This window comes from Homo sapiens, chromosome 10 (genome assembly GCF_000001405.40).
Source record: "Homo sapiens chromosome 10, GRCh38.p14 Primary Assembly".
NCBI lineage: Eukaryota > Metazoa > Chordata > Mammalia > Primates > Hominidae > Homo > Homo sapiens.
Genome location: NC_000010.11, coordinates 30,211,312 through 30,234,979, shown reverse-complemented (window position 1 = coordinate 30,234,979; position 23,668 = coordinate 30,211,312). Strand labels below are relative to the sequence as shown.

Below are 23,668 nucleotides of genomic sequence, written 5' to 3'. Positions count from 1 at the left end.
CTATCTAGTAATAACTATTTTCATCATTCTGAAAGAAAGCCTTATACACATTAAGCAATTGGTCTCCATTCTCTCATCCCCCTAGAACCTGACAACCAGCAATTTGCTTTATGTCTCTATGGATTTACATATTCTGAGTGTTTTTGCATTTTTTTATCTGTGTGCCACATGTTGTATGACTTCTTCAAATTTACTTCCCAGTTCACTGATTCTCTAATCAGCTGTGTCTAAATCAGGTGATACCTAGCTGCTGAGTTTTTCATTTCAATTACTAAATTTGTTTCTGTTTTGTTTTGTTTTAGAGATAGAGTCTTACTTTGTCACCATGGCTGGAGTGCAGTGACACAATCATAGCTCACTGCAGTCTTTCATTTTTCTTTTTTTTTCTTTTTTCTTTCTTTTACTATTATTATTACCATTTTTTGATACAAGGTCTGGCTCTAGTGTCCAGGCGGGAGTACAGCGGTGCTATCTTGGCTCACTGCAACCTCCACCTCCTGGGCTCAAGCCAATCTCCCACCTCAGCCTCCTAAGTAGCTGGGACTACAGGCGTGCATCACCATGCCTGGCTATTTTTTTGTATTTTTAGTAGAGATGGGGTTTCACCACATTGCCCAGGCTGGTCTCAAACTTGTGAGCTCAAGTGATCCATCGGTCTTGGCCTCCCAAAATGTTGGGATTACAGGCATGAGCCACTGCACCCAGCCACTCACTGCAGTCTTGAACTCCTGAGCTTAAGCAGTCCTTCTTCCTCAGATCCCCAAGTAACTGTGACTACAGATGCATGCTACTATGCTAGCTAATTTAAAAAAATATTTTAGAGATGGAGACTTGTTATGTTGCTTAGGCTGGTCTTGAACTCCTGGCCTCAAGCAATTCTCCCACTTTGACTTCCTAAAGTTCTGGGATTGCAGGCATGAACTGCCCTGCCTGACTGGATTTTTATTTTTATTTTTTAAATTTTTGTTTATTTCTTATTTTTACCTGATTTCATTTTTGATAATGTTACATTATTTTCTTATGCTTTGATTTCCTTTCTTTCTGACATTAGTCATGTCAAATACTCTTAGTTTATAATTTATAAGATTATCCAATTTTCTGAAGTCCTTGGGTTCTAATACTATTGTTTGTTATGTCTGCTGGTTCTTAATCATGGTGGATTATTTCCTCAGGCATTTTAGAGGTTTTGATTGTGAGCTCATCCTCTGTGAAAATCTCGTGCAGCCTGAGTTCAGTGCCCTGGGGGTTTTTATTGGCTGGAACCATTTTCATATTATTTTCTTGGCTTTTCGTGAACCATGCTGATAGTGTGAATTTGAACCCAAATTTGAATGAAGTGCAGTTATCAATTTCCAGGAAGGACTTTTTTTTCTGACTCCCAGTGCAGTAAGTAACACAAAAGCTCTCTTATAATGCCACTGTGATATTACATGGATATTTATCTAGTCTAATCTTTTATTGAGATTGTTGTTCTTTAAGTGTTCCTACTTGCTGTGGGAGTCTTCTTTACTTGCATGAGATGAAAACTCTGCCTTCTATCTTATCAGGAATACTAAAACCCAAGCCCCAAGGTTACTGAGGCTGATGATTTCTGGGCAGTCACAGTATCAGCTCACTCGCTCACTGCTCTGGTATTCAGCTCACTCTTTAAGCTGCATTTAAAATAATGTTTATCCTACATTATTCCATACTGCCGGATGTTTGTAATGGTTTGGTTTTCAAACCATCTCATTAAAAATGGAAGTTCCCCCCTTTTGGTTCCATTGCAGCTGACATAATGTTTCCTGTAGGATGGAACTGGAGCTTCAAGAACCACCTATGCCTTCTCCCCAAAGACTTGAAAGCCCAAATTTAGATGTGGTCTTCCTGGATTCTTATAATGAATGGAGGGTCTTCACGTAGCACAGAGAGCACAGCTCTTGCTGGAGCTGTGCAATGTGGTAGCCTTGGGTAAAGGTTCAAAGGCACAGCTCAGGACATACTGTACAGAGACTCGATGTGGTGCCACCAAATTGCTAAGAGGCAAGATAAAGCAATGGCAGACAGACCTGTCTGAGCCCCAGGGTTTTGAAATGAGCCCCAACCTTCTGGAAGTAGAAGGCCTGGAGGAAATGGTACAGATTCAAGGTGGCTCTTGGCCTTGGAAAGGTGAGTTTTTATTAAATAGTTTATATAGTCTGCCTTGTGTTGGATACTGGCTGAAAGATGCAGCCAGGGTGTTACCAGACTAACACAGGGGACTGTGTTACTCTGTTTTCCTTTGTTATAAAGGAACACCAGAGGCTGAGTAATTTATACAGAAAAGCTGTTTATTTGGCTCGTGGTTCTGCAGGCTATATAAGCATGGCACCAGCATGTGAATTAACAGAGTGAGAACTCACTCATTACCATGAGGAGGACACTAAGCCATTCATGAGGGATCCTTCCTAATGATGCAAACACTCCCCACTAAGCCCCACCACCAACATTGGAGGTCACATTTCAACGTGACATTTGGAGGGGACAAACATCAACACTACATCTGGAATGTTCACCTTCTAGTCAAAAGCAGCCAGAAAAACAGTGGTTCTGAATTTGAGTATAAAATGTCTCAATTAATAGGAATATCTGTCATAGATGTTATGCTGGTTTTGTATATTGAAAATAATGACCATTAGAGCTTGCAAAACAACAAACCCCACTTGTCCTAGATCAACCAATGAAGTTAGCAGGGCAAACTTACTATGAAAAAGGTCATATGCCAGCCGGGCGTGATGGCTCACGCCTGTAATCCCAACACTTTGGGAGACCAAGGCAAGTGGATCACTTGAGGTCAGGAGTTCCAGACCAGCCTGGCCAACATGGTGAAATCCCATCTCTACTAAAAATACAAAACTTATCTGGGCTTGGTGGCACACGCCTGTAGTCCCAGATTCTCAGGAGGCTTGAGGCAGGAGATTCGCTTGAACCCAGGAGGCAGAGGCTGCAGTGAGCCGAGATTGCACTACTGCACTCCAGCCCGGGCGACAGAGCAAGATTCTATTTTGAATTAGTGCCATGGAAACTTCTTGAACTGTAGAGAAATGCTTATTAAGCAGTTTAAAGGTTGAAATGGAAGACAGTTTTAAGAATAAAGAGATAGTTTAAGCAAAAAAATATAGGTCTCCAGACCTCTTAGTCAATGTACCTAGTCAGTTCCTTAGAGTGACAAGTATTTTTATTAATTTCATTACAGAGAGCCTGGAATTAACTGAATCAGATCAAGCTTTGGGAATAAGTGATACCCAGAAATAAATAACTGATGCAGTACATTTTCCAATAGCTCATTGACTGGGGGCAGAGGCTCTTTTATATAATTAAAGTATGTAGGTGAGCCTAGGATTACCCAGAAATGTACTGGTGACAAGTGTGGCAGCTATCTCATTATTTAATCTACCCGAAATGAATGTGCACAACTTCATGTCATTTCCTGGCCTCAGGTGCTGTGAAAAAAACGTGCCACTCTTTAAGATCTAAGTTTCCCTTCCTGAATAAACAGCTAGACCTCCTTTCCCAGACTTCCTTGTGTAACTGAAATTCAGGTTCAGTCACTTGCTGCTTGCAGAGTCCAATGAACAGGGGTGAGGTCTGGTGTAAAGAAAGTGACGTTATTCTAAGGCTTAGCTTAGGGGAAGATGTACTGGCTCCTGCCTTTAAGGGTACTGCTTCCCTTTGTGTGCAGAAAGCAGGGCTTTTAAACAGGAACCTGGCATGAGCAGCACACAGGGGAGGGAGCGATCAGGTGCAAGGTCTACATGACTCACTGTGTCGCCTTATCTACTGAGTGGTCCAGCTGGTGCCATCCTGGGCAGAGCTAGGTTGTAAGGTGGCCATTGTCTCGAGATACTCTCCAGGTGGGAGCGAGTTCCATCGTGGACATGCTTTAGGTTGCAGATTGAGTGTTGTCTCTTGAGGTGATCTCCTGGTGAGAGAGAGTCATGGCTCTGGAGCTTCTAAGTAAGCAGGCAGTTAGAGCCTCTGGGAGTATCATGTAGGGAGCATCTGGTGAAGGGAAGCTGAGGGTTTTCATTGCATTTCTAAAGAACTAAGTGAGAAGTGGGGAACAAGGAACAAGGAGGAAAGAGAAAAGAAGAAAAAAGTAATTAACAAAATAACTTTGTTCTCTTTGTCTTGAAGAAATAGGGGTATGTGTTTATACCTGGAGTTCAGTATGATCATATGACTGAGTGCTTATGAATGGACTATGAGCAGCCGTGTGTGTCTGTCATTTCCAGGTCTGGCCTACAAAAACTTTGCAGGCCAGGCGTGGTGGATCATGCCTGTAATCCCAGAGCTTTGGGAGGCCAAGGCAGGTGGATCACGAGCTCAAGAGCTCTAGACCATCCTGGCCAACATGGTGAAGCCCCGTCTCTACTAAAAATACAAAAATTAGCTTGGCATAATGGCAGGTGCCTGTAGTCCCAGCTACTGGGGAGGCTGAGGCAGGAGAATTGCTTGAACCCAGAAGGTGGAGGTTGCAGTGAGCCGAGATCGCGCCACTGCACTCCAGCCTGGTGAAAAAGCGAGACTCCATCTCAAAAAAAAAAAAAAAAAAAAAAAAGCAGCAAAAAAAAAAAAAAACAAACTTTGCAGGCATGCTCAGACATGCTCGTTTCCTCTTCTGGATGATTGAGGTGGCAACCCTCAGGAAAGCTACATGTTAAGGAGGACTACCATCAGCCGCAATCTTGGTTCTCGTATGACTACATGGGGTAGAGTTGCCCACCCAACCCTCTGTGAGCTGTTATATTTCTATGGTGTTGAGCTACTGCACATTTGGGCCTATTTTGTTATCTCAGCCTAACCTCCCTGAACTAATGCATAGTATAACCAGGATGCCAAGGATATTAGAGGTCCTGTGAGCCCCTGTGTGTGTGACTCCCAGTAGAATTATTTTTCCTCGTTCTTTGATGAAAGATGCTGTAGCACATCCCTGGCCATCACCCAGAGCCTGGCACCTGTGCTCCCTGTCCTTGCCATCTACCGCAGCCCAGTCGCCAACCAGCCTTTGTCTAAATGTGACTGGCGATTTTAGACACCTGATGATTCAAATCCCTGGGCATCTGAAACTGGCCCATGTGTTCCCCTGCCACACCCTCCTAGAGCGCTGGGTTTGACTGAGTGATTTTTAGAGGAGAAAAAACACGATTTTCATATTAAAATAAACATTCATGGGTAGAAGGCAAAACTGGATGAATTTCAAAGACCAAGCATAAGACTTCAAAGAGATTTCAAGCTTGCATTTGCAGTTCTGGATCGAGCCCTTGGACCTCCCCTGGGGCACTCGTTCACTGTGTTTTGGGTTGTCAGAACTGCACTTTATTTATTGTTATTCTAAGGGTTTTTAGGTTTTAATCCAATAGCCAAATATTTTCTTTCAATACAGTGCAGACACCTAATTCAAGTGTTGTTAAATATTATTAGAACATCAGATCATTTGTTATTGGTTTCTTTTTTCTTCCCATATCACCACACCCCCCAAAAAAAGAAGGGAAGAAAGAAATTTACTACCCTAGAATATAAACTATGAAGTAGATTTTAGATGTGAGTCTCCCAGCCCACATGGGGAAGAACCAGGCTCCCTTTTAGTCTGTGGCTTCAGAAGCCCCCTCCCCTCCCCACAATGCACTCCCAGCTCCCCAAGCCCCCACATTTCAGGAAGATGGGAGTAATCCTTCAGGCCCACAGGCCACTGGATTTCTTCACCCTCAACCTAGACAAGTCTTGAGTCTGTGTTGGAATCATGAGCAACCTGGTCGTCTTGGACAGAATGGCCAACTTCTGCTCTGAGCAGTCTTGTGTTTAATGCCTGTACTGGGCACGATTTTTTTCTCCAAAAGTTCATATCTTCTCCTGGTAGTCAGTGTATCTTCAGCTAACATCTACTCAGGGAGAAAATAATCTCCTCAGGAGCTGCCAGCTGATTTGCAAAGAACTTCTCATTTCCTGAGAGTCAACCTTCCATCAGCAGCTCATTTCAGATTCACAGTCCACACTCCCCTCACTGCACTCAGTCCTGCTTTGTGGCGTCCTCTGGGATTACTGGGCATGTGCTTACTCAACTTGGGGCCACAGTCTTCTGAGTGAGGAAAATACACCCAGGGTCAGATTTGCTTCTGGAGAGGTCTAGGGCAAAGCTGGTGGAGATGGGCCAGCACCAACAAGAGGTCCCGGAGGCAACGCCTTGGCTTGCACTCCCTGAGGACTGGGAGTTGCTGCCAATATCAGAGGAGCTGGGGCGGAGTCTCTGTGCCAGATCCCAGGGGTGAGTGCTCCACCTAGAAGGCAGGGGAGGGGGTGGTCAGGACCATGTGCAGAAATGGAGGGCAAATGGGAGAGGCTGAAAAGACAAGGACTGGAGACAAATGGAGATGCTGGGATCTTGCCCAGGGTAGGTCAGCCTGTCTATAGCCTGGAGCTCTGAGAGCAAAGCAGCAATATTTGCAATGAGAATCTCCTGATTTTTTTAAAAAAATACTTATTTTGACTAGGTAGTATATCCAGAGGGAAAACAGTGCTTGGCACTGTGGCACACGCCTGTAGTCCCAGCACTTTGGGAGGCTGAGGTGGGAGGGTCACTTGAGCCCAGGAATTCAAGACCAACCTCGGGAACATAGTGAGACCCCCATCTCTACAAAAATTAAAACAAATCAGCAAGGCATCGTGGTGCACCTGTAGTCGCAGCTACTTGGGAGGCTGAGGTAGGAGGATCATTTAAGCCCAGGAGTTAGAGGCTGCAGTGAGCCATGATCATGCCACTATACTCCAGCCTGGGAAACACAAGACCCTGTCTCAAAAAAAAAAAAAATTCTCCAAAGTGGACAAAAGGGCCTACTTTCACCTTATCCCCATGACACTCAGTTTTCTTCCCACAAAGCCACACTTCTTCTAGCTTCTCATTTATTGTTCTATAGTTTATGCATGTATAAGCATATGTGTTTGCATTATTTATTGGTTTATCTGTTTATATTTCAAAAATGGCACATTCTGTACAACTTTTCATTATTATGCTTTTGGCTGCAAGAAACTGAAAATCGCTATTAAAATAACTTAGCCTTTATTTGATGTAACAATAAGTTGAGAGGTGGGTGGTTCCAGGGTTGGGTTGAAACACACCTTGCATCTTAGAATCCTCTTACAGGGGTGGATTTCCTTCCCTTGGCTCTAGGCCACAGCCTTCTGGGAGTGCAAAATCCTCCCTGCATCATTTCACTTCCTGAGAGGTTGAGAGCAAGGCTGGGGCAGGGCCTCTTCTCGGGCCACCAGAGGACCGTGTGGCCAAAACAGTGAGTCACGGCCAATATCAGAGGAGCTGGGGCTGGATTTTCCAGCGTCAAATTGCTGAGTAGGTTCTTTCTCGGTTATTTCTCATCTTCGGATGAGGAGAGGTCTTCCTGAGCCAGCTATTAATACTTCCAGGAGGACTTGAGTTATGTTCCAGGCTAGCAGGAATCCTTTCACCAGGGCCTATGAACTCCTGTAAACTTTTCCCCACCATGTCCTGGAATCAGGCTTTGTCCATACCTTTCCCTGTCCTGTGCTGCCTTTTTTGGGTCTCAAAATTTCAGCGAAGGGCCCAGCCCTGGCCCAACACCTGTTGGCGTTGTCTCAGACGTGGGATGGATGTGTGTGCTCCTCGGGGAGGGAGCCTCCCAGCCTGAAGGACTCAGCTGTGCCCTCACGGCCGGCCCCTTGGACCTTCTCGTCTCTCTTTAGGCAGCCCTTCCTTCCTCACTACCGTGCTTCAGGGGACAGCTGACTCCCAGTCGTGTTTCTATTTCTTGTTCTGCTTGTTGTTTTCGAGCAATTCCCCAGTGGAGAAGGCGGAATACCCCATTCACTGCTGCTCTGGGAGACTGGCCGAAGCTCTTCTCTCTTCAGGTCACACCAGTGCCATTTTCCCCATGACTAATGTTTTTTTTTTTTTTTTTTTTTGAGATGGAGTCTCGCTCTGTCACCCAGGCTGGAGTGCAGTGGCACAATCTCAGCTCACTGCAACCTCCGCCTCCAGAGTTCAAGCGATTCTCCTGCCTCAGCCTCCTGAGTAGCTAGGATTACAGGTGCCTGCCGCCATGCCCAGCTAATTTTTGTATTTTAGTAGAGATGGGGTTTCACTATGTAGGTCAAGCTGGTCTCACACTCCTGACCTCAAATGATCTGCCTGCCTCAGCCTCCCAAAGTGCTGGGATTACAGGCGTAAGTCACCTCGCCCTGCCCATAATGAAAGTCTTTCCTGCCAGCCCACCCTGAGGATGACAGGCACCTGGAGATGGTATTTCAGTCCACTGTTGTTTGTCAGATTACATTAAATTTCATGTATTATTTATTTATTTTATTTATTTATTGTTTATTTGAGACAGAGTCTTACTCTATTGCCCAGGCTGCAGTGCAGTGGTGCAATCATGACTCACTGCAGCCTCAAACTCCTGGGCTGAAGCAATCTTCCCATCTCAGCCTTCCGAGTAGCTGGGACTACAGGTGTGAACCACTACACCCAGCTAATTTTTAAACATTTTTTTGTAGAGACAGGGTCTTGCTATGCTGCCAGGGTTGGTCTCAAATTCCCGGCCACAAGCCACCCTCCCGCCTCAGCCTCCCAAAATGCTGAGATTACAGGTATGAGCACTACACCCATCCCAACGTTTATTCATTTAAATAAGAGAAAGCATGGGATGGCTTCAGGGTTAGCCCCGGAGAGCCTCTCCCTGTGCCAAGCCCACAGTCAAGGGGCGAATGTGCTGCAGCACCTGCAGTATCTCCCAGGAGGGAAAAATGCCCTTCCCCACAGTGAGAGCCACTGGCATTACAGCCAAGGGGGATATCCACACTTGGGTTGTCCGAACTTGGCTTCAATTCTGGCCCATGTCTTGTCAATCTAAAACATTACTAAATCTGGCTGGGCACGTTGGCTCACGCCTGTAATTGCAGCACTTTGCAAGGCTGAGGCAGGTGGATCACTTGAGGTCAGGAGTTCGAGACCAGCCTGGCCAACATGGTGAAACCCTGTCTCTACTAAAAATATAAAAAATTAGCCAGGAGTGGTGGCACACACCTGTAATCCCAGCTACTGAGGAGGCTGAGGCAGGATAATTGCTTGAACCTAGGAGGCAAAGGTTGCAGTGAGCCAAGATCGCGCCACTGCACTCCAGCCAAGGCGGCAGAGTGAAACTCCATCTCAAAATAATAATAATAATAATTAATAAATTACTAACCTAGTAGCAGTCAAGGTGTGGTCTGAGGGCCACTTGGGGCCTGGGAAGCTGCCCTTCGGATGAACTGGATTATATTTCTGTATTCAAACTATGTTTCCACTTTGGGGAAGAAATTGATCATTTCCATATGCTTCGACAAAAGCAACTTCAACCAAACCATTCATTCTTGTCAGTTTTGGTTCTGATGAAAATGCGGACATTTAAAATGACATGTATTTTGCCCAGTGATGAAATGCACAGAGTGAAAATCTAGAAAGTCTCTGGTTTACCATGCTCCTGTCATGTGAGTGCGTGAGTAGGACTAGGGTGGAATTAGACTGTGGGCTGGTTACCAACGGTAACATGGACTTGGAAGGACGCATCAGGAGATGTCCAGTGACTACAGGTGAGTGTAGCTCACTGTGGAGACCAAGACTGTGGAAGCAGACAGCCCAGGCTCAGGGGGGCCTCTATTTCACTAGCCACAGGACCTTAGTTTTCTTAGGTGTAAATTTGGGATCATAAGACCTTCTCTGAATTTTAAATAAGAGATCTTAGGTAAAGTGGCTAGATGAATGTCAGTTTTTTAAATGAAAAATTATAGGGAGAGGGGACTTGATACCAATTCCAAAGCAAAAATATTCTAGGAAGAATAAAAGATTTGAAAAAGGCAAGGCTTCTATAAGAAACACACACTTTAAAGGGTTATAAAAATAATATATGCGAAAGCACTTTTTTTTTTTTTTTTTTTTGAGATGGAGTTTGGCTCTTGTTGCCCAGGCTGGAGTGCAACGGCACAATCTTGGCTCACTGCAACCTCCACCTCCCAGGTTCAAGCGAGTCTCCTGCCTCAGCCGCCCAAGTAGCTGGGATTACAGGAGTGCACCACCATGCCTGGCTAATTTTTTGTATTTAGTAGAGATGGGGTTTCACCATGTTGGTCAAGCTGGTCTTGAACTCCTGGCCTCAGGTAATCCACTGGCCCCGGCCTCCCAAAGTGCTGGGAGAAAGCACTTTTTAAACTGTGAAGAACTGCATAAATCTGTGGACATTTTATGATTACCATTGTGACAGCATCAGTCCGAATTAGATCTTCATTCTTTAAGAGGATCACTCACTCACCCATCAGACATTGATGGAGCATCTGCTCTGTGCCAGGCACTGTTGAGATATGGAGGAGCAGCCCGCACAGGTGGGGCTCCTGCCCTCAGAGGGCCAGGAGTTCAGCGGGACAGACAGACAATCAATAACAGTGACAGGGCGATGAAAGTTAAAGACCCCTAGGGTGTAACAGGACTTCAGAGCAGTGGCCTAACTGCCTGGAGAAGTCAAAAGGCCTGCTCAGAGGAGATAACTTAACTAACCTAGAAGAGCTCCCGGGAGGTCAGAGCCAGGGAGGGGACCTGAGGCAGGTGTGTTTGTCTGTTTTTTGTTGCTATAAAGGAATACCTGAGGCTGGGTAATTTACAAAGAAAAGAGGTTCATTTGGCTCACGGTTCTGCAGGCTGTACAGGAAGCATGGCACCAGCATCTGTTTCTGATGAGGGCCTCAGGAAGCTTCCACTCAAGATGGAAGGTGAAAGGGGAGCAGTCATGTCACATAGTGAGAGAGGAAGCAAGAGAGAGGGGGAGGTGCCATGCTCTTTTTAACAACCAGATCTCATGTGAACTCATGACCATGGGGACCGCAGGGAGGGCACCAAGACATTCATGAGGGGTCTGCCCCCATGACCTGAACACCTCCCACTAGGCCCCACCTCCAACACTGGAGATCATATTTCTTTTCTTTTCTTTTTTTCTTTTTTTTTTTAGATGGAGTCTCGCTGTGTTGCCCAGGCTGGAGTGCAATGGCATGATCTCGGCTCACTGCAATCTCCACCTCCCAGGTTCAAGCAATTCTCCTGCCTCAGCTTCCCGAGTAGCTGGGACCACAGGCATGTGCCACCACACCCGGCTAATTTTTGTACTTTTAGTAGAGATGGGGTTTCACCACATTGGCCAGGCTGGTCTTCGAACTCCTGACCTCAGGTGGTCTGCCCACCTCAGCCTCCCAAAGTGCTGGGATTACAGGCGTGAGCCACTGCGCCCAGCCTGGAGGTCACATTTCAACATGAGATTTGGAGGGGACAAACATCCACATTATTTGACAGGCACGTGTTCCGGTGTCCCAGCCAGAGGGAACAGCCCACGCAAAGGCTTGGTGGTGGGAGACAGCATGGCACAGATGAGGAACTTAGACCAGTGCTAGTTATATCAGCATGGAAGCGGGAGGAGCCACAAGAAGGGGAAAAGGATTGGAGATGTACTGGAAAAAGAGGAGCACAAAAATTATTTTTGGAGGGGAAGATAGATATTTTAGGACATGCCATCTGAGATGGCTCTGAGGGATGTAAGATGTGACAGGCACCAGCTCTGAAGCAGGTTCACCGAGGGGTTTGCAGGGGAGCTCAGAGTGTTGTATCTGCTGTTCAGTGCAGTTCCCAAAGTGTCAGCAACCCCAGCTGGGAACAGCAGCTGCCCAGGTAGGAGGGAGGCAGAAGGTGAGGGTCCTCAGGGGTCCCTTATGGGGGGGCTGAACAGTGTGGGGCACCAGCATTAGCAGTGTGGCCACCGCAGTGGCCAGCCGCAGGTTAGCACTTACATATTGGGGTTACAAAAGTCTTACACAGGTGGAGGAATTTCTCTAGGAGTTTCCATGAATTTTTTGTGACATCCATGGGTGCCAGAGGGCAAGATCTGTTCTTTGACATTTGCTTTCCAATTCTCACAGGGACCCAAAGTCAAACTGGGCAGCTGTCCCGTGGTTCCGCGGCCTCATTCCATATGGCTTTACGTTTTTAAAGTTCGCTTACTCCAAATAATTAAAATGCTTTATAGACTTTATGTAGCAGCTTCGCCAGGAGGAGGCTGTTTCAAAGGAGAAGTGACATTCATGCCGTGACTTGGGGGAAACAGGCAAGGATAGGTATTGAACGGAACCTTAGGACTTTGAAATCAGATGCACCATGTCTTTTATTGCTGCTGTTTTTGTTTGTTTGCTTGTTTTTGAGACAGAGTTTTGTTCTTGTTGCCCAGTCAGCTCACTGCAACTTCTGCCTCCCAGGTTCAGGCGATTCTCCTGCCTCAGCCTCCCGAGTAGCTGGCATTACAGGCATGTGCCACCACACCCGGCTAATTTTGTATTTTTAGTAGAGATGGGGTTTCTCCATGTTGGTCAGGCTGGTCTTGAACTCCCGACCTCAGGTGATCCACCCGTCTCGGCCTCCCAAAGTGTTGGGATTACAGGCGTGAGCCACCCTGCCCATCCTATTGCAGCTGTTTTGTTTTATGTTGTTGTTTTTAAAGATAGGGTCTCACTCTGTCACCCAGGCTGGAGTACAGTGGTGTGATCATAGCTTACTGCAGCTTCAAGTTCCTGGGCTTAAGAGATCCTCCTGCACCAGCCTCCTGAGTAGTGAGTCTCAGGGAGTACAGACGCATGCCACCATACCCAGCTTTTTTAAAAAAATTATTTATTTATTTATTTATTTATTTTTTGTAGGGGTGGGATCTTGCTATGTTGCCCAGGCTGGTCTCAAACTCCTAGCCTTCCACCTCAGCCTCCAAAGTGCTGGCATTACAGGCATGAGCTACCATGCCTGGCCTACACCTTGATTTTAACTATTGCTCTGCCATTTTCTTGCCGTTACTTGACCTTGGACAATTTATTTCCTGTGAGCCTCAGGTTCTTTGTGTGTGAAATGGAATAAGATTGTTCTATTACAGATTTGTCACATGGAGATTACAGAGTAAATGTCTATCAAGTGTCTAGCTCGGTTCCTGTTTCTCTCAGGTGTCTCCAGGTGCAGCCTGTGCATCATGGAAATGTCTGTAGGTCTGACACCTTTGGCAGGGAATGTCCTGTGGCCCCAGCTCGTTCCTTGATGTAGTCTGTGCATCATAAAATGTCACAATGGCAGCTTTGTTTATTGGCTTTCCCCAACAGCATTGGGGAAAATTGCTGCCGAGTATTTTTCCATTTATGGAGAGCTGCTCTCCATATATGTGCTGCTCTTATATAAGATTTGGGCTCAGGCTTGCTGGTTTGCTGGTGTGCATCCTATTGTCCCTAAATAGGGCAAAGAGCACCCCATGGTCCCCTGATGAATATGCAAACTGAGGGCAACTGGAGCCTGAGCAACCTCTCCTGTTTCATGCTCAACCAGTGTGTTTCCCATCCCTTATACACCTCCTCATTCAAAGAAGGATTCCAAGCAACTTACAGAGCTAGAACCAATGTAAGAAGCAATCACGAGTAGCTGAGGCAGGAGAATCGCTCGAACCCGGGAGGCGGAGGTTGCAGTGAGCCGAGACCATGCCACTGCACTCCAGCCTAGCAACAGACCGAGATGCCGTCTAAAACAAACAAACAAAAAGAAGAAATCACGAGGATGCAAAAATAAGAATAGTAACCCAAATGTAGGTCATAAGGCTTTGACTGCATTGGTAGAGGTGGCTTTCAAATTTGGCTCTGAACATCTTAGCAGCCGGGGTGGAAAGGAAAGCAGATGTAGCCAGCTTGTGATACCATCCGGCAAAACCATGTTCCCAGTACAAAAAGGAGCGTAAATCGTTTTAGCTGGTATTAAGTCTACATATATTTAGTACTCATGGGGCACACGGACCTTTTATGGAGACAGGGACTTGTTGGATTAACAAAAGCAGCAATGTTATCCCTGAACTCACTAACATTTATAATCTGATTTTTCAAGGCAATTAGTTTGTGGAAAGCCACAAGCAATATTTTGAACAGATTTCATGGAAGCAGTGGAGCCGCGGGGCATTCTGTGAGGCGCTCTGCGTCTGGTCTCTTCTCTCTGATGAACTGCTCAGGTGGCATCGGCTCATCTCAGTCTACCCCTCATGGCACATAGGAATACAAATAGACACCTACCCAAAAAATGAATGCCACCCTATGTGTGTATTTTGATCACACCCTTTAAACATTGATGAGGTTTTTGCTTGTAGTAAATTAAAAACAGTCAATCCAACAGGGAACTTGAAAAATATATGATTCTCGTTCACACAGTGAAACCATAATTATTTGTGCCCCGTTGGGAATCTCTAGGTTTCCATGTGGTTCTTTCAAAACCCCTGTAACAGAGGAGGCTCTTCAGGGAAGGCGGGGCCTGAAAGCCCTGAACGGGCATTGGGGAAAATAGCTGCACAGTTTTTCTTTTAGTGTTGTGGAGGAGGGAGAGGGAGCAGAGGTCTTGGAAATCATTGAGTACGCGGGGGGCAGAGAGGGTAGAGACAGGTGAAAGAACTGAAACACACTGAGAGGTCACAGAAAGTCCTCTGTTAACAGCAATAGCCAAAATATCTCCCGGAAATTGGGAAACATTGCTGTTATGTATAAAATTATATTAAGCTTCCAGCTCTGAGCCCACGTTTCCTCCTTCAGCCGCACATTCCTTTCCGCCACTCACTCTGCTGCCTTCTCGTCCTGTTTGTGCAACTGACATGTGATCTCTCAAAACCAAGCCTGGACTTGACTTCACTCACCGACCTTTGTTCCAAAAAGAGACCCTCTCACGCTGCAAGCTTTGGCTCCCTGGAACATGGGGCTGCCCGGGAAGAGCGCCCATTGCTTTTGTAGCAATGGCCTGGGGCACGTGGATTAGGTTTGCTGTTTTGCAGTAATGCTGCACACTCAGCCTCACAGGGTGATCCTTGACTGACAGCTGTGCTCCTCCCCAGCTGTGGGGGAAGTTACTATTCTTATCAAACAGTACGGGTCCATCATTATGTTTCCTGCAGCAACCTCACTTGATTTTCACCAAGTATTATCATCAGTACCTTCTTCCCAATTTCTCATTTTGAAAATATTCAAACGTGCAGAAAAATGGAAAAAATCATAAAGTGAAATTTTTACACTTTTGGACCAGAGTCACCAATTTTGCCCCATTTGCTTGTTCTCTCTCCAGTGCACGCTTGGGTGCACCTCTCTCTCTCTCTCTCTCTCTGTCTCTCTCTCTATCTTTCTCTTCCTCTCCCCCGGCCACTCCCTCCCTCTTTGTTCTATGTTATTTATATACATATATCCACTTCTTTTTGCTTAACTATTTGAAAATAAATTGTAGTCATCACAATAGTTCATCTCTAAATACTTCAGCATGAATCTCCTTAGAATTAGAATGGTTTCCTACCTAATTGTAGTATCATTGTCATACTTAATAAAATGAAGAATTTCAGCCAGGTGCGATGGCTCATGCCCGTAATCCCAGCACTTTGGGAGGCCAAGGCGGGTGGATCACTTGAGGTAAAGAGTTTGAGACCAGCCTGGCCAACATGGTGAAACCCCATCTCTATTAAAAATACAATAAATTAGCCAGGTGTGGTGGCATGTGCCTTTAGTCCCAGCTACTGAGGAGGCTGAGGCAGGAGAATTGCTTGAACCCAAGAGGCGGAGGTTGCAGTGAGCCAAGATTGCACCACTGCACTCCATCCTGGGCAACATGGCAAGACTCTGTCTCAAAACTAAATAAATAAATAAAATGAACAATTTCATTATATCTTCTCATGCAGTATATATTCCTTTGTCCAATTCAGGATCCTATTAAGTTTCAAGCATTGCATGTGACTGTTACTGCTCTTTAATTTCTTTATTATAGAACAGTCCACATGCTTTTCTATCTTTTGTGATGCATTTTTTGAAGAGTTCAGACCAATGGTCTTGTGCCATATTCTGCCTTCCAGATTGATCTGGTTGTCTCTTCATGGTGGTGTTTACTGTGTTCCTGGTAGCTCCTATTTTTTCCCTGTAACTCAGAGTACCTTAAGTCTAAATGTGTGATTAGATTCAGCTTAAACAACATTGGTAAGAACATTACAGAAGTGGCCTTGAAAACTTGTGCTTTCATCACATCAAGAGGCACATGCTATTAGGTTGCCCTAATATTTGTGATGCAAGTTTGATATTTTGGCTAAGACTGTGACCACCAGATCTCTCCATTGTATAGATGCAGTTTGCTGTTGTTTTCAACTGTCAAATTATCTGTAGGGGGGATACTTTGAGATTGTTTGAATACCTTGTCACTAACAATATTGTGTCCAGCTGTTAAAGAATACATGAAGATCCCTGCCTCAATCAGTTATTACATTGAGAGCTGCAAAATTATTTTTTAAATTTGAGAATCTTTTCAACATTTATTAACTGGACTTCTGTAAAAGAGGAGTTTCCTTTCTTCTTCCACCTTTATTTCTCTCTCTCTCTCTCTCTCTCTCTCTCTCTCTCTCCCCTTCACTCCCTTTCTCTCTCTTTGTGGCACAAGTCATCTCAGGCTCATCTTGTGCTTTCTCTGCCCCAGATCTAAAGTCAGCCATTTCTCGAGGGATCCCTGGTTCCTTTTAGTGGGAATGACACTTAGAAGCCAAAATCTGGGCACTGGTTGTGCTCAGGCCATTTCAGCAAGCAAAGCTGGGAGATGCGTTGTCAACATAATCATGAGTTCTTTTTTTTTTTTTTTTTTGAGACAGAGTCTAGCTCTGTCACCCAGGCTGAAGTGCAGTGGCATGATCTCGGCTCACTGCAACCTCTGCCCCCTGGGTTCAAGCAATTCTCCTGCTTCAGCCTCTAGTGTAGCTGGGATTGCAGCTGCCTGCCACCACACCCAGCTAAATTTTGTATTTTTAGTAGAGACGGGGTTTCACCATCTTGGCCAGGCTGGTCCCGAACACCTGACCTCGTGATCCACCCGCCTAGGCCTCCCAAAGAGCTGGGATTACAGGCGTGAGCCACTGCGCCCAGCCAGTCATGAGTTCTTAATGACATTTCCTGCACAAATGTCATAGTATAGGACTTCTCTTATCTTCCTTTATTTTGTATTTTCATCTCTTTTGTATTTCATCTCTTTTCTCTTACAGAGAGAATCTTGTTTCCTAAGTAGATTATTTGCTTTATCCAAAATAAAAATAGAACTGTTTTAGAGTTACATTGTGTTAGGGTTCTCCACAGAAACAGAACCAAAAGGATCTGTGTGTATGTGTATGTGTTTTTATATGTGTATCTATAAACATATATATATATATGCCTGTAACCCCAGCACTATGAGAGGCTGAGGCAGGTGGATCACTTAGGCCCAGTAGTTTGAGACCAGCCTGGCCAACATGGTGAAACTTCATCTCTACTAAAAATACAAATCTTAGCCGGGCGTGGTGGCACATGGCTGCGATCCCAGCTACACAGGAGACTGAGGCACAAGAATCACTTGAACCCGGGAGGTGGAGGCTGCAGTGAGCTGAGATCTCACCACTGCACTGCAACCTAGGTGACAGAGTGAGACTCTGTCTCAAAACAAACAAACATATATAATTTTTATATGTATATATATAAAAAACATATAAACATATATAAACATATATTATATATAATATATGCAATAAACATATATAATATAAATGTATACAATAAACATAGATTTACTCTAAGGAATTGGCTCATGCAATTACAGAGGCTGACAAATCCCAAGATCTGCAGCCAGCAAGACCCAGGAGAGCCAGGCCAATGGCCAGCAGGCTTGAGACCCTGATAGAACCAATGTTTCAGTTTAAGTCTGAAGGTAGGAAAAGAAATGATGTCCCAACCTGAAGGCAGTTAGGAGGAGGAGTTCTCTTTTATTCATGGGAGAGTCAGGCTTTTTGTTCTGCTTAGGCCTTCAGCTGATTGGATGAGCCCCACCCACAGTCGGGCAGTCTGCTTTTATTCATTCTACCAACTCACATGTCACTCTCACCTAGAAACACCCCCACAGACACACCGAAAGTGTTTGACTAATGTCTGGGCAACGCATGGCCTGGTAAAGTTGACCTGTAAAATGAACTAACATTACTGCTGTCAACAAAACTATTAAGTCAACTTTCATATTTATTTACCGTTCTTTTTGGCCTTAGCCTGTATCCCATTACAGATGGCAGTCAGAAATAAGAGTAAGTTGAGGGCTGAGCACAGAGGCTTGTGCCTGTAATCCCAGCACTTTGGGAGGCCAAAATGGGAGGACCACTTGAGGCCAGGAGCTCAAGACCAGCCTGGGCAACAGAGCAAGATCTCACCTCTGCAAAAAAAAAAAAAAAGAAAAAAAAAGGAAGAAGAAAGAAAAGTAACTTGAATTAGCCAGCATGAAAAGATTTTTAAAATTAAAAGTTACTTGAAATACTTTTTTTCTCTCTGTGGTTATTTTTAATTTGATATCTATATTTATGCTTACTTCTGTTTGCATTCAATTTTAGCATTTGAAAAATCCTTTTGGATTTAATTTTGTTTTTTGAATATGTAAAACATTTATATGTTTCAAAAATCAAAATGATATAAAAAGTTGTACTCTGAGAAGGCTCATTTCCATCCCCCCTCCCATCCTACTCCTTCCCACTCATCTGTTTCAAGCTTATCATTTTTGCATTTCTTTTAGCAAAAATAAGAAAATACTCTCTGTACTATTTACTGAAGGCTTTTCTAATTGATTCCTCTCCATTTTCCATCACCAAAGTATTACATATTCACTGTAGACATTTCACAAAATGCAGAAAAGTGCCTAAACACCACAAAAATATTTTGGACACCTATTGTTTGATAAATCATGTTAATTAACTGAGCTAAGTCAGATATTCATATGATTGGATTTAGATTTGGTTCAGTGGGATTTTCTTTAGTTTCTTTAAAAACCTCATGCATCTTGTTCTTTTGAGTTACATGATTTAATTATTATTTCTATTTTCACAAACACATTTCCTCTCTAAAGTCAGTATTTCCTTACAAGGATGACACCCCGGAGAATAGGATGCAGGAAGTCATGAGGCCCTTTCTTTGTCTACTTAACAGAAAAGAGGCTTCAGTTAGACGAGTAACACCAGGAAGGACCTCAACCCTGGCTCCACCCAATTCCCGGGAGGAAGTGCTCATCTCCGCAAGCCAGGATGTCCTCTGACAACCGACTCCCTAGAGGAGGGAAAAATGCTTTGAAAACACACTGCATTTCAGTAGCAACCCAGTGCTGCCTTTAGCCTTGCCAGGTGGTGTACAGTTTCAATTGGTCGTATTTCTCAGGCTAAACACAACACGGCACAATTGGGATTGTACGAAGGGTGGGTGTATTTAGAGGAAAAGAACAGAAAATGGCAACGGGGCCAAGACTGGCTTTTAAAAACAATACATTTCATGTGTGTGCAGCGCTTCACTTGCTAGAAGTGGCTTTATATGTATTATTTCCACTGGTGTAACTCTGAAAAGTAGGGTAGAAATGATCATACCTTTTTTAAAGATGGGGAATCTGAAGGTGGTTAACCCAGAGATGCTCTGTCAATCAGCAGCGGAGCTGGGAGGCTCAGGGAGCGATTTCCTGGGTCAGAGTCACTGATTTTTCCTCCAAGTATGAACAAAGATTTCAAAGAATGCAAACACTCTTGAAGCCAGAGTCTTACATAAAGCCAAATACCTTGTATTACAAATACTCAGTGTATTAGCTATCTATTGCTGTGTAACAACCCCCATAACATAGTGGATTAAAGCAGCAGACATGCATTTCAAGACTGTCTCTCAGGAATCAGGATGCAGTTGCAGTTAGTCTGGGTGCCTGAGACTCTTCATAAGCCTAAAGAAAACCCAGGATCTCTCACAAGAGAGACAGAAATCAAGGTGTTGGCCAGGTCTGCAGTCCTCTCGAGGCTTCACAGAGGACACTGCTTCCAAGATCATTCACGTGGCTGCTGGCGGGCCTCAGAGCCAAACTCGCTATTGGCCAGAGACCCCATTTCTTTGTGGGTGTTTCCACAGGGTTATTCACAGCATGGCAGCTTGCTTCACCCAGAGTAAGGAGGGAGGAGGGAGAGAGACGAGGGGCAGCAGGTGGGGCAGCAGGTGGGGCAGCGGGGGGAGAGAGAGAGAGAGAGACCAGATAATAGGAAAAAAAAAATCAAAGAGAGACCAGATAACAGGAGAAAAGTCAGAATCTTTTTGTAACCTAATCTAAAAAATGACAGTCCATCGATTTCACCATATTATTTTTTTCACTAGGTAGGTCACTAGGTAGCAAGTCACTAGGTAGGTCCAGCTCACACTTGAGGGGAGGGGATTACACAGGGGCATGCATGCTGAAAGGTGGGGCTTACTTACCAGGAGCCATTGTAGAGGCTGCCCACCATATTCAGCAATTTAGTTAAAGATTTGTGTGTGTGTGTGTGTGTGTGTGTGACAGAGTCTTGCTCTGTTGCCCAGGCTGGTGTGTGATGGCACCATCTCAGCTCACTGCAACCTCCACCTCCCGAGTTCAAGTGATTCTCCTGCCTTAGCCTCCTGAGTAGCTGGGATTACAGGTGCCCATCACCACGCCTGGCTAATCTTGTATTTTAGTAGAGATGAGGTCTCACTCTATTGGCCAGGCTGGACTCAAACTCCTGACCTCAGATGATCTGCCTGCCTTGGCTTCCCACAGTGCTGGGATTATAGGCATGAGCCAGTGAGCCCTACCTTAAAGATTTTATTTTATATTAGCCCTTATGGTGATGTTTTTTAGAATTTCAACAATTCAGTGAGATCTTTTTCAAAGAGAATCTAAAATATTATTGTCCTTAGAAGATACAGATTACTTTCCTCTATCCAAAAGACAATAGAGATTTATAATAGGGTATCTAATGTGATTGAAATTAATTTTGCTCCCCCACCCCCCAAAAAACCCAAAAACCAGAAAACACCCAATGGGTAGGAGGAACTTAATGGCTGCTGTGTGACCCAAAGGTAATATCCATTAGGAATTCACAAGTCTTCAGAGAAAGATGATGGTAGATCTCAATGCTTCTTCCTGCAGAATAAGTGCTATTAAAAGTTGGGATGGCCCTGACAAAGACTCAGTGACAGATATGGGCAATTGAGGCTCTCTGGATAAAATTGCCCCAAGGGCAGAAACCAATGTGATAGTGGTCAGGCCCCTTGACTAAGTCCAGTGATAAAAGGAGAACCACGCACGGTTCCAGCAGCAGATGCTGGAGCCTCTCCTTCTCAGTCATCCTGGGCAAGGCTTTTTGCCCAATGGGAAAGGATTTAGAAGTGAACCTAAAGAGCTCTAACACTGGGATCCCAGGGCAATGTTGATAGTGGGGGTCTCAAAAGTGGGAAACTCAGCACCATCCATATTTCTCTGGACCCAACAGTGACAACTTATTCCAGTGCCAGCAGCTGCAATGGCAATGTGAGTACGATCTGGGATTTGTTATGTCCAAGCAACCAGGGCTGGCCCTTGGATGTGAGTTAGGGAGCTCCCTGTGAGAGCCTTGGGTTTATAGGGAATAAGGTGTTCTGAGGGTGGGAAATAGATTCCTTACTAATCTGAGGATCTGTTTATCCCACTGTTGTATTTTAGAGGCTATTGCAAGAGGTTGGGAAATTTACATATACCTACATCCAAACTCTATAGCAGAACACCCCAGTTATATGAGATGCCTTAGATACGCAATGCTAATGTTTAAATAAACATTTGCATTGAGTATCTAAGGCATCTCATATAACTGGCATCAAATCAAAATTACCACAGGCTTGTAGCTGGCTGAGATGGTTTGGATCTGTGTCCCCATAGAATCCTATATTGAATTGTAATCCTCAATGCTGAAGATAGGGGCTGGTGGGAGGTGACTGGATCATGAGGGCAGATTTCCCATGACTGGCTTAGCATCATCGCCTTGGTACTGTCCTTGCCATTGTGAGTGAATTCTCATGAGATCTGATTGTTGAAGAGTGTGTAGCACCTTCTCCTTCTCTCTCTCTCTCTTGCTGTTCCAGCCACGTGACTTGTGTGCTTCCCCTCGGTCTTCTACCCTGATTGTAAGTTTCCTCAGGCCTCCCCAGAAGCTAAGCAGATATAGGCATCATATTTCCTGTACAGTCTGCAGAGCCATGAGCCAATTAAACCTCTTTTCTTTAGAAATTACCCAGTCTCAGGTATTTCTTTATATCAATGCAAGAATGGACGAATACACTGATAAACCTTGCTTCCAGTCCCGGTGCTGTTAACAATTGGGTAAGAGACTTCTCTGAATTTCAGTATTCTCACTGATAGAACAAGGTTGAACTTTTGAGGCATAAGTTCCTTTGAGATCTGCTAAAATGGAATCTTTTAGAACATGCACTGCATCTTACTCATCTTTCCATCTCCAGTCACCGGCCCAGTGCCTAGCACAAGTTGGCACCAAATTTAATATATGTTAAATAGCTTTTGAGTACTTTTATTATTTTTGTGTTTTGAGACTCAGTCTCACTCTGTTGCCCAGCCTGGAGTGCAGTGGCATAATCTCAGCTCACTGTAACCTCCGCCTCCTGGGTTCAAGCAATTCCCATGCCTCAGCCTCCCTAGTAGCTGGGACTACAGCCACCTGACAGCATGCCCGATTAATTTTTGTATTTTTAGTAGAGACGGGGTTTCACCATGTTGGCCAGGCTGGTCTCTAACTCCTGACCCCAAGTGATCCACTTGCCTCGGCCTCCTAAAGTTTTGGGATTACAGGCATGAGCCACCGTACCTGCCAACTTTTGAGTACTTTAAAAAGAAATGAACCAAAATGTTGCCCTCCGTTGGGATGACTAAATGCTAACTCCATGATAAGCACAGCTATTTCAAAGCTACATACAGGAGCAAAAACCTTGCACAGTTTTTATATCGAGATGTTTTCCGTTGCAAGTAGAAAAAAAACCAGCTCAAAATGGCTTATGACTAAAAAGGATCTTCTGGCTCAGTAATAACTAAAAGGTTCATAGGTAGTAGGCTTCAAGTGCAGTTTGATCTGGCTCTATTTCTGTGGCTGTCTTACCTCTACCCACCTCTGTGACCGGCTTCACGCTCAAGATGGTTTCCTTCAGGGTCCCAAGACGGCTGCTGGCAGATCCTGCTACCTCCCATAACCATGGAACAGGAGTTCTAAACTATGTTCTAATTCGTCCATCCCTGAACCAATCACTGTTGTCAGATTATTTTAGACCAATCATGATCTATCCCAGTAGCTGGGGATGGAATTAATCCAACTAAAACCTCTTGGCTTCAACACAGTGGAAGAGGGAAAGAGTGGATGTTGAGAGTGGATGTTGGGAATATTGTTAATCAATATCCACACCTTCAAAATGCTCATACTTAGCTGAGAGGCACAAACTTCAGCCAGCTGCAACTCCAGCCTCTGCAGCTAATAATGCCAGGCCAGGATGTAGCTCCTCATTATTGAGTAAATTAGGATTAAATGATAAATTACTGACTCCAACGTTATTGCTCAGGATTCTCAATTACAAACAATGGAATCTACTGGACTATATTAAACAAAAAATGAATTTAGTAAATGACATCAGATAGCAAACAGCATCTCAAAGGGGACCAAAGAGCCACATTCTAAAGCTACAGATTAGGAACAATGCCCAATCATGCCGCAGGTACAGGTCCAGCAAAAATACT

General features: G+C 44.6%; 1 long non-coding RNA gene across 1 annotated transcript, besides 2 other annotated features; it reads right to left on the bottom strand.

Annotated features, from left to right (window-relative positions):
• Positions 1-2,289: 2,289 nt before the first annotated feature.
• Positions 2,290-23,128, bottom strand: LOC101929279 (uncharacterized). Its single transcript, NR_120653.1, has 3 exons — positions 23,040-23,128; positions 18,123-18,301; positions 2,290-4,063 (listed from the first exon to the last, which is right to left on the bottom strand). It is a non-coding gene; the product is annotated as an uncharacterized LOC101929279 (long non-coding RNA).
• Positions 3,782-3,921: an enhancer, noted in NCBI's record as "active region_3202". NCBI's record gives its function as "activates an Ori minimal core promoter by ATAC-STARR-seq in GM12878 lymphoblastoid cells {active_cell/tissue: GM12878}" and the evidence as "EXISTENCE:reporter gene assay evidence [ECO:0000049][PMID:35858748]".
• Positions 14,881-14,970: a silencer, noted in NCBI's record as "silent region_2266". NCBI's record gives its function as "represses an Ori minimal core promoter by ATAC-STARR-seq in GM12878 lymphoblastoid cells {active_cell/tissue: GM12878}" and the evidence as "EXISTENCE:reporter gene assay evidence [ECO:0000049][PMID:35858748]".
• Positions 23,129-23,668: the final 540 nt, after the last annotated feature.